At 37.6% G+C, this 11,650-nt stretch overlaps 1 protein-coding gene across 2 annotated transcripts in view; it reads left to right on the forward strand.

Moving 5' to 3' along the window:
- Positions 1 to 7,640, forward strand: part of C4orf17 (chromosome 4 open reading frame 17) — a 31,283-nt gene extending 23,643 nt beyond the window's left edge. Inside the window, exons 6-9 of one of the 2 annotated variants that reach the window (NM_032149.3) lie at positions 3,006 to 3,087; positions 4,500 to 4,707; positions 5,749 to 5,792; positions 7,247 to 7,640. In NM_032149.3, the coding sequence (NP_115525.2) occupies positions 3,006 to 3,087; positions 4,500 to 4,707; positions 5,749 to 5,792; positions 7,247 to 7,446 (534 nt within the window). In that variant the 3' untranslated portion in view covers positions 7,447 to 7,640. Of the gene's footprint in view, positions 1 to 3,005; positions 3,088 to 4,499; positions 4,708 to 5,748; positions 5,793 to 7,246 lie in introns of those variants that run through there. The other variant, XM_011532315.3, reaches the window with a different exon arrangement.

The following is an 11,650-nucleotide window of genomic DNA, read 5'->3' on the forward strand; positions in this document are numbered from 1 at the left end:
ATCACAATTCTGACTGGTGTGAGATGGTATCTCATTGTGGTTTTGATTTGTATTTCTCTAATGCATTTAGCCCATTTACATTTAAGGTTAGTATTGCTATGTGTGAATTTGATCCTGTCACCATGATGCTAGCTGGTTATTTTGCAGACTTGTTTATGTGGTTGCTTCATAGCGTCACTGGTCTGTGTTCTTAGCTGTGTTTTTGTAGTGGCTGGTAAAAGTTTTCCTTTCCATATTTAGTGCTTCCTTCAGGAGCAAGGCAGGCCTGGTGGTGACAATTCCCTCGGCATTTGCTTGTCTAAAAAGGATCTTATTTATCCTTCGCTTATGAAACTCAGTTTGGCCAGATGTGAAATTCTGGGTTGGAAACTCTTTTCTTTAAGAATGTTGAATATTGGCTCCCAATTTCTTCTGGCTTGTAGGGTTTCCACTGAGAGATCTGGTGTTAGCCTGATGGACTTCCCTTTGTAGGTGACCTGGCCTTTCTCTCTGGCTGCCCTTAATGTTTTTTCTTCCGTTTTGGCCTTGGAGAATCTGACGATGATGTATCTTAGGGTGGATCTTCTCATGGAGTATCTTACCAGGGTTCTCCAGATTTCCTGAATTTGAATGTTGGCCTGTCTTGGTAGTTTGGGGAAGTTCTCCTAGATGATATCCTGAAGTATGTTTTCCAACTTGGTTCCATTCTCCTCATCTCTTTTAGGTATTCCAATCAGTTGTAAGTTCAGTCTTTTTACATAATCCCACATTTCTCGGAGGTTTTGCTTATTCCTTTTCATTCTTTTTTCTCTATTTTTGTCTGCCTGTCTTATTTCAGAAAGATATGCTTCAAGCTCTGAGATTCTTTCCTCCACTTGGTCTTTTCTGCTATGAATACTTACAATTACATTGTAAAGTTCTTGTGTTTTTCAGCTCCATCAGGTCAGTTATGTTCCTCTCTAAACTGGCTATTCTTGTTATCAGCTTATGTATTGTTTTATCATGATTCTTAGCTTCTTTACATTAGGTTACAACATGCTCCTTTAGCTTAGCAAAATTTGTTATTACCCACCTTCTGAAGCCTACTTCTCTCATTCAGCCATCTCAGCCTCAGCCCAGTTCTGTGCCCTTGCTTGAGATGTGTTGCAGTCATTTATAGGAGAAGCAGCACCCTGGCTTTTTGAGTTTTCAGCATTTTTGCATTGATTCTTTTTCATCTTTGTGGGCTTATCTACCTTCAATCTTTGAGGTTGCTGACCTTTAAATGGGATTTTTGTGGCATCTTTGTTGTTGTTGTTTTTTTCTGTTTTTCTTCTAACAGGCCACTCTTCTGTAGGGCTGCTGCAGTTTGCTGGGGGTCTGCTCCAGACCCTGGTTGCCTTGAGTTTTCCCATACCTAGAGGTATCATCAGTGAGAGTTGCAAGACAGCAAAGGTGTCTGCCTGCTCCTTCCTCTGGGATCTCCATCCTAGGGGGGTACTGAGCTGTTGCTGGCTCGAATGCTCCTATAGGAGGTGTGTAGAGGCTTCTATTGGGAGGTATTACCGGGTCAGGAGGAATGGGATCAGGGACCTACTTAAAGAAGCAGTCTGACTGCTTTTGGGAAGAGCAGGTATGCTGCATTGTGGGGAACTCTTCCACGTCCAGACCTGGACTCTCCAGTGCTGGCAGGCTGGAATGGCTGAGTCAACTGAAATGCAGAGACAACAGCTGCCTCTCCCCCAAGGGGCTCTGTCCCAGGGGGAGATCAGAGCTCTGTGTGTATGACCCTGGCTGGAGTTGCTGAAATTCCCACAGGAAGGCCCCACCCAGTGAGGAGGAATGGACCAGGATCCCACTTAAAGAAGCAGTCTGGGCATGATCTGGCACAGCAGCTGTGCTGTGTTGTGGCGGACTCCTCCTTGTCCAGATGGCCTGCACTCCCTGGAGCCAGCAGGCTAGAACAGCTGAGTTGACCAAAACACAGATATGCTGGCTGCCCCTTCCCCTGGGAACTTGGTCCCATCACAGGCAGTCTCCAGCCTGTTCCCTCTGTCTCAGATTATGTAGAGGAGCAGGGCAGATGGGGCCAGTTCTGTGACTGATGGATTCTCATTAGAACCCTGTGGTACAGTGGGAAGGATAAATTCACCAAAAGTATGTTCCTACTAGAAGATGTTGGTACTGAACAGACAAAACAAGACAAATGTTGGGATTCACTCAGGATGGTGGCAGAAATATTAAAGTCAAATATTAGGGAAAGTTATAGGGAATAGTCACGAACCTTTTGGAAGGCCAAAAGGTTACACAGCTTGTAATAATTGAACAGGCTGGAGGCAGCCTGTTCTTCCCTCAGAACATCAGGTCATAGGGTAAATACTAGGGACAATAGAGGCTTCCCCAGTTGTCTGTTTACCCCACCTCCATTAACTAACCTTTGACCCAGATGGCCTTCTTGGGGGGAGGTCGACTAGGGATATTGCCCCCTAATGGTATTTACCTTAGACCTTGGTACCTGAGCTTTAATCATTCCTAGAACTACTCTCTTAACCATGTTAATTATCTGCAAGTGTGTTTACTCAAAGCTTCTGTTGTTAATTGTATATCAAATAAATGCCTGGAGTGTGAGCTGCTCAGGGCAAGCCGCAGTGACAAACCTCTCTTGGTGCACAGGCGGTTGGACACTCAGCTGGACTGGCAAAACAGAATATCTGTGTGTCAGTGTATGTTTTATTCATCCGTTGTTGAGGTCAGGGTCTGCAGGCAGACCCCCGCAGCTAATGCCCTCTTGTGAGGAGCAATACCTCAGACAAACACACTCCATAGCCTACCCTAAACTGCTAATTGTACTGGAAATGTTGTTTTCACTAAGATTCTACTGTGTGCTATTTGAAATCGAGCTCGTGAGTTAAAAATCCCAATTAACTAAATTGCACATCATATACAAAGTGATATTTGGGAAGATGGGATTCTGGAGAAGGTAAAGGAAAACTGATAAGCCTTGTACTATTTATTTGCTCATATGTAACTCTAATGTTCTCTGTCAGATCCTGGCAAAGCTCTGTAGCATTTTGCATACTGATTCTCTGGCAGAAGTTTTACAGTGGCTGCTTCATGCAACTTCAAAAGGTGCGATTAAGATATAAATTTTAAAACACTGAGCTCAATTTATTGTCAGAAACTGGGAATATGCCAATATCTGAAGTTTTGTACCTTGGATTTGCAAAGATAATGTTGCAATATTATTTCCGCAATGTTTCAGTATCAGGGTGATTACTGTTCTGCATATCCAGCTGCATGCATGTGGGTCATTCAATGAACCCAAAATTCAGTACGCTTTAAATTGAACTCATTTGGGTGACATGAAACACTTGTGTCCAAGGGCGGTCTTATTCTCAGCTAGAGTTGGTTTATGCTCCTCCAGAGTCCACACACCCAGAGGCCTCCCTGAGCACATCCTCTGGCCTGTTGTTAACTCTGAACACAAAGCTTATTTCTTTCCTTTGGTAAGGAGAACAGTAGAAGAGCTATCCAACCTGTAACAGCTCTGCCATTTGCCCAGCAAAACCATCAACTCAGTCATTTCCTAACCTCTTTTGGGCCCTTCCTGGCCTGTTCCATGAAAACACATGCCATTCCCAATCGGGACAATGATAAATGGCAGAGAGCTATCCTCACTTGTAGCTGATCCTCAAATGTAGTTGATCATCAGACTGACTGAGGCAAAATCTCTGCAGTGGGACTTGAGAATTTGTGTTTCTGACAAGTTCTCAGGTGATGCTGATAATGCTGGTCTCAGCACTACTCTTTGAGAATCACTGCACTGATCAATGCTAGCAAGTACCAATGTGTGAGGAAGTCTAATGTTTTAAAGTAGGAAGCATTCTGGAAATATTACCTTTCCCCAGGAATTCAACACTACTTTTTAGGCAATTGAGAAGTGTTTAGAGGCGATGGGTCTTTAGTTACCTTCCAATTATTTTTCCTTTTAAAGAATGTAACATTTAATAAACTATACAAGTAATAAATCCTTATTGTTGGGAGAAAGAACAGATGAACCAGAAAGAAAAAAAGAGATGAGACAGAAAAAAAATAATCAATAAAATTACCACAGACATCATTTCAGTGAATACTTTGGTGTATATCTTCCTAGATATGCTTGTAACTATTTATTACCTATTAGTCTGTATTTTAATGGAATCATATTACCCTTCTTATTTTTGTATAGGTATCCTTATATCTTTGGCAGCAGCCTGTAAGACTGGCTACTGTACTCAATATTTTAAAACTATTCCACTGCTATTCAGGGACAAGTGCCTCAGTGAGTTAACTACTCTGGGCACTCTACAGTATCACAGGTCAACAGAAACTATGTTAAAATGAACCAACTTTTCTGCAGAAGTCCTTACTCCCACATAGGTAACTATCCAGAAAATAGATGACCAGTCTTTCATACTCAGGAGCTGGATATTCCTGTGTTTCTATCCAACATGATAATTGCAACCTTCACTCCTCCCACCCTTTTTTGTCTTTTAAACCAGAAAAAGAGTGGGTCTCAGCTTTGATTCATTCTGAGCTTGCCGAGATAAACCTGTTAACTCATCACAGAAGAAACACCTCAATGGAACCAGCAGCAGAGACTGGGAAGCCACCCACAGTTAAATCACCACCCACAGTTAAATTGCCCCCAAATTTTACTGCAAAATCAAAAGTGCTGACCAGAGATACAGAAGGGGATCAACCAACCAGGTAATTAGATATAATGGCCCCCTAGAGGGAGGGCCTATGGCACATGAAGACTTTGAATTCTCTTGTTATTTATCTTTCAAAATGTTAAACAGGAGGTTCTAAAGCTCCGCTTTATTCAGTAAGTGACTGCAATATATATTTGCTTTCATTTTCATATATGTAATATAAGAATTGTTCTCAATTCTATTGTTTAGAACATTTTGGCAGAAACTATGTCTTTCTTATCTGGTAACCTTTCTTTTTAAGAAAAATTATTTTTCCACTAAGGGAAAAGCAAGAGTGGCTACCTAGAAATCTAAGATAATAAAGATTTTTATAGTTTAACTAAAAATAGATGCAATTAAGGAAAACAAAATTGTATTGTTACAGTTATTGTATATTTTGTTAAATGTGTATCACACAGGTTTCACTTTTTTGTGTAGAACAATGCAAGATTAAAATAAATTGCTTCACTTAATTTCCTCTGATTTACTCCTGGGGCCCCCTAGAGAGAAAAATAACTACTAAAATAATTGAAATTATTGCAGGAGAAATTTTTCTTAAATGCTGTTATTTCAATAACAGAAGAAAAATATATATTTATGTAGAATCATGGTGAAAGAATGTGTGGTAGGATGTTATTTAAGCTAGGAGAGAAAATCTTGTTGCTTTAAAATTAAAAGTTGAGTAAAGCTTAAAGTTAGAGGAAAAATACATTTTTGAAAATATAAATATGTCACTTTAAAAAGCATTAAGACAAAAAAATTGTATTACTAACTGTCCGTATCTTAAAGTTTCCATAAAATCAGAAACTAGAAGATAGTAAGAGTTAATCTGTACCTTAATGACTAACATATGATACAATAGTTAAATATTTACTCAAAGTAAGAAGAATTTTTCATTGGGAAGTAAATTTAATACTGTATGCATTAAAAAAAACAAAGAATTGGGGTAGCATATTTAAGATACATATACACTGAACTTATTGATGACAGTGTAGTCTATAGAAAATACTTTTTTGTATCTGTGAAATTCACTTTTTTCTTTCTCCAACTGATCTAGAGTGTCAAGTCAAGGATCTGAAGAAAACAAGGAAGTACCAAAAGGTTAAGTACAGTTTTTGGTAACTATTGAGTTGGTATAAAGAAACCAGTAAGTACTAATGACTCAGGGAACAGATTTTAAGGATCAGTGCTTTTAAAAAAACAGAAAAATACAATAGTAATTTCCAGATCAATTCTTGAGAGAGCATCTGCTTACTTTCTCATAAAGATAAATTTACCTTTGTTTTGAAAGGCAAAGTGCCTGATCATGGACAGACACTCTTTGAGAAGCAAGACAGCAGGACAACAGGAACTATAGGTTTGGTTATAGCAATTCAGTGAAAAGGGAAACCCTGCATTGACCTAACAAAAGGACAATGATCTCAGAGTTTTGGTTCTTCACAGCTTAATGGAGTTAAATAATTTCACTGGAGACAAAGTCAACCAGAGAGAAGAGTAAAATGGCAATCAGCCACAAGCAGGTGACCTACAAGACAGCTGAAATACAATTGAAAAGAGCAGTTTTGTGTTCCACCAGAAGCCCAGCTCCAGTCTGTAGGGGAACCAGGGAGAATCAAGAATTGTGGAAAGTCCTACCTTGGTCCAAAATAGCCCAAAGTATCCTTATAGGTTTGGCAGTTTCTAGCTTTAAAACAAGGAGAGCATTCATGACTACAGAGCAACAACTATGAAGTGTATCTACAAGCTTTATACAAAAATGTGTCTTGTCATTTCTACAAGTTCCCTTTATACCAGGAATGATATATAATCAATTAGAGCTCACTGGGGTCACCCTAGACTCCAGCAAGTTCCACTGTGATTAACCAAACCCAAAAAAGACACTATCTCCTAACAGCCAATAATAAGTATAGTTTAAAAATTACAAAGTACTCCCTTACTTAGACTCCAAGGACAGCCTATTGTATCTGGCCTCTCCTACCAAACTCCTCATCCTGGGACTATAACATCATGACAGTGATGGTTTCTATTATTCAACTTTATGTCTTACCTGTAAGGCTCACACATATTTTATCATTTAGATATTTGGAATTTTTTGTATAAGAATTCCCAAGTCATGCCCCTTTCTCTCCATTGTCGATATTTAGCATCTCCTTACATCCCTATTCCTGCTTGGGTGCAACTATGTAGGTCTTACGAGCACAATTAACTTGTCTTAGCCTGTTTGTCTCTTCTCTTGTTACATCTATCAGGACCATAGATCTTCCTTCTTTCTCTCACTGTCACTCTTACCCATAAACAATTCTATGCAATCAAAATCATGTTTACTTTTGAGAGTGAAGGAACATATCCTGCATGTTACAGAACAAATAACTCATTAAAGATGAGCATGTGGTGGAAAAAAAAAGAAAAGGAATATATTCTTTTGTGAATTTTGGGTGTATCTGATTCACCTAAACTTCATATAGTTTTTTATAGATAATTTACTACTAAAACATGGAGAAGGTGTATTCAGTGTCTCAATTATGGTCTTATTTAGATTTTTTTCTCTATTTCAGAGGCTGAGCACAAGCCTCCACTACTTATAAGAAGAAATAATATGAAAATACCTGTTGCAGAATATTTCAGCAAACCAAATTCTCCTCCCAGGCCTAACACTCAGGAGAGTGGATCAGCAAAACCAGTGTCAGCAAGGAGTATACAAGAATACAACCTCTGTCCCCAAAGAGCATGTTATCCTTCAACACACCGGAGGTAGAAGTTCTAGACTGGGTGAATTCTTTCATGAATATGAGCTTCACATTTACATCATCAAATTATTTTTCAAATGAATATTTTTGGTATTGAGGAATCAAGTGGTCCTCTTTATGGTGGCACATGTAAATCTAAAAATACCTGTATGTAATGCTACAAATAAATATTACTGGAAATGATATTTCCATTTGTAGTTAATACGATGTGTAAAAGAAATACATTTATTTATATACTATGTTTCCAGTCTTGCACTATTAGTACATGAGCATAGAGCCCTGATACTAGAAAAATCATCCATAATCAGAATTAGGCAGTTACAGTTTGACACCTACCCCAAACTCTGTTAGAGGGGGAAAAAAACACAAAGAACAAAAAACAAAACACCACCATCACCGCAAAAACAAACAAACCCAACAACAGAATTTTAACATGTGAGATGGTTTTTATCATCTAGTGTCTCACTGTTGTTGAACTATTATGAAAAAATGCTACCCTCCCCTCCAAAAAGAAAACATATACATATTGTTTCTAACTCATGAGCCAGAAAGAAACTAGTTTTCAGTCAGTACTAATGGTGGACATTAACATTTCATACTGAATTTTTTGTGTTTTTAAAAGAAACCACTTGGCTGGGCGCGGTGGCTCATGCCTGTAATTCCAGCACTTTGGGAGGCCGAGGTGGGCAGATCATGAGGTCAGGAGATCGAGACCATGGTGAAACCCTGTCTCTACTAAAAATACAAATATTAGCCGGGCGCGGTAGTGGGTGCCTGTAGTCCCAGCTACTCTGGAGGCTGAGGCAGGAGAATGGCATGAACTCGGGAGGCGGAGCTTGCAGTGAACCGAGATCGCACCACTGTACTCCAGCCTGGGTGACAGAGCGAGACTCCATCTCAAAAAAAAAAAAAAAAAAAAACCACTCTTGGGCCACAGATATGATTCTTTGAGCATGTTGCTGCAGTCTATCTACCAATAAGCCAATCCTTTATTTAGAATGTTCACACTGATGTTCATCAGAGATACTATAAATTCAGTGTGTGGTGTGTGCATATGCATGCATGTCTATATGTACATTAACTTTTAATGATAACATACTATGTGTCACGAATCATTCTAAACACTTTAGATATAATAACTTATTTAATTTTCACAAAAACTATTTGAGGTAACTACTCTTATTTTTCTCATTATTTAAAATAAGAAAGCTGAGGCACAGATTTGAACTCATTGTGATGGGATAAGTTGTAACAAATGCTATCATTCAAATACAATTATTTCCCACGTGAGAGTCTAAAGTGTGTGATTCAAAGATAACTTTGCTTTACTTGGTGATTTAGAGGCCCAGGATCCTTCCATCTTGTGGCTCAACCATCACCTAAGGCTCCATTGTCAACTGTACCATGCTGGCCAAAGAAAAAATGAGAGTAAAGTATTAGTTTCCTATTGCTGATGTAACAAATTACCACAAACTTTGTGACTTGATGCAACACAAATGTATTCTCTCACAATTCTGTAGGCAGAGGTCTGAAACAGGTCTTACTGGGCTAAAATCAAGGTGTGGCAGGACTGCATTCCTTTCCTAGGCTCTAGGGGACTATTTGTTTCCTTACCTGTTCCATTTTCTAGAGGCTATCTATACTCCTTGCTTCATGGCTCTCTTTCATCTTCAAAGTCAGCAATGGCCAGTCAAGTTGTTCTCATAACAAATCACTCTGATGCTGACTCTTCTGCCTCCATCTTCCACTTTTGGACCTTTGTGATTGCATCAGGCCTGTTATCCAGCTTATCCAAGATAATCTCCTTCATTTAAGGTCAGCTGATTAGCAATTTAATTCTGTCTTCAACCTTAAATTCCCCCTTACCACGTAACTTAACATATTCAAAGGTTCTGGGAATTAGGATCTTTGAACGGACATTATTATGCCTTCCACAAGGAGGATATATCTGCTTAAAGTCTTTGCCTTGAAATGGTAAACATCACTTCTAGTTACATTCCATGGTTGAGAATTAGTATAGCTGAAAGGGAAACTGATTAAAAACTCTTGAGTGGGAATCATATTCCAATTACAGCTATGTTCTATGTTAACAAAAATTAGCTTTTGGTGGACAGTCAACTTTCTCTGACACAAAGATTTCATGGCTGGCTCAAGGTATGGCTAGAATCTATGTGCTTAAGCACTAGGTGCTAGTGACACATAACAAGATTATGCTCAACTCATAAAATTAATAAAGTGCACTCTCTCTTGCTTTTCTGTTATGAAGATGTTACAATGGCATTGCCAATTCTTTTTCATTAAAAATTTGCTAACGTTCATCTATCAGATCACATAGGTTTTGTATTTTGGGAGTTGTAGCTTTTTGACAATTTTATTTCTCCTGTGGTAACTGTTCTATTTATATTTTCTGTATTTTTGGAGCGGAGGATCAATTTTGGAACTTCATGTTTTCCCAGAAAATTATCCATTCCATCCAGGTTTCCAAATTTATTTTCATAGAATTGAGATTTATCTCATAATTCATCTAAATTTGTTTATTCTGCAATCTCATTTTTGTGTATTTGTAATTTTTTTCTTGATCCAGTTAGCTAATACTTTTCACATTTTGCTACCATTTTCAAAAAACAACAGATCTTGGATTTATTCATATGTCCAACAATTTTCCTATTTCTATTTTGTATCTCTTTTCATTTTTTATTAAGTTCCATTTTTTATTTCTTCAGGTTCATTATTGTTCTAATGCCTTGAGTCAAATCTTTTTAATATGTTTATATTCAGTTATTCTCATTAGCATAAATTTTTAAAGTGATGAATTTTCCTCTAATCACAGCTTTAGCTAGATCTATAGATCTGATATGTAGTGTTTTTATTATCTCTATTTTCAAAATATTACATAATTTCAAATTTGGTTTCCTCTTCTATCTTTCCTCTTTTTATCTTTCCCCTTTTATAAGCTCTTGAGAAAACAAATTTAAAATAAGGCTTTCATCCCATCTCACCAAGTTTATTTTCCAGTTTAATGTATTGTTATCAGAGAAGCTGCCTATATTTTTACTTCTGGAAAATTTTCCTTGTGGTCTAATATAGTTACTTTTATGAATACGAGTTGCATTTTTTTTAGCCTACAAAATTTGGTATCACTATCTGTATTAATTATAGCATGTACATTTTCCACATACTCATCTTTTGTCTACTTACATTGTCATAGGTTGAGAAGTATGAGTTAAAGACTCCTTATACTGATGTATTGTTTCATGTAATTCCCAAAGGCTGTCAGTGACTTTGAATACTGTTACCTGATACACAGATTTTCATAATGGTTAGATCTTTACTAAGGATTGCCTTCTTGACAATTACAACATGTCCTTCTCCTTTTCTTTATTTGTAATGTGTTGGACCTTATCTAATGTTAAGACTGTGACTTCTGACTTCGTTTTATTAGCCTGGTATGGCTTTTTCTATTTTTTATTTTCAATATTGCTGAGTAGTTTTAAATACAGCATATATTTCTTTTTTAAATCCAATCTGGAAGATTTTTGGACCATTTAAATTTGCTGATAGGCCATATAGATTTTGTCGTGTGATTGTGTTTTATGTTAGCATTGTTTTTGTTGCTTTTATAAATGTTTCACTAAATGATCTGTAATTTCCTTGTTTTGTTTAGTGAGTGTTCATTTGGTAATTTAGAAAGTTTACATTTTAAAAATCTTATCTAAGCCTGGGTTCCTCAGAAAGTACAGCCTGAATCAAAATCCTATATATTATTACCATTTTAGGGCAGGCAATGTCAAAAAGACTGAGAAACAAGGGAAATAAGGCAAGAAATGAGAAAGCCAATACAAGCATTATCGTTAGCTACTGCTTGACAATTGTTTGCTCAAGCCCTGACAGAGTAAATGGAATAACATTTCCATTTTACATATAAAAACACTGAGGCCTAACAAAGGTTGAATAACTCATCCAAAGTCTCAACACCAACAGTGGCAGTGGCAAGGCTTATGCTTAGTCCAATTCCCTACTGTTTCCATTGATTGTCAATATTACCACCTTTTGATTCTGTCACTGCTTCTCTTCTTCACATTTATTAGATGACTACTATATTTGTCTGGTAATGAGACAGGGAAACAGAGATAAATACCTGCATGCTAACTGAAATCAAAGTTTAATGACTACTAAATGCCTTTACTGCCCTTAATTCAAATCTCTACCATT

Source organism: Homo sapiens, chromosome 4 (assembly GCF_000001405.40).
Source record: "Homo sapiens chromosome 4, GRCh38.p14 Primary Assembly".
NCBI lineage: Eukaryota > Metazoa > Chordata > Mammalia > Primates > Hominidae > Homo > Homo sapiens.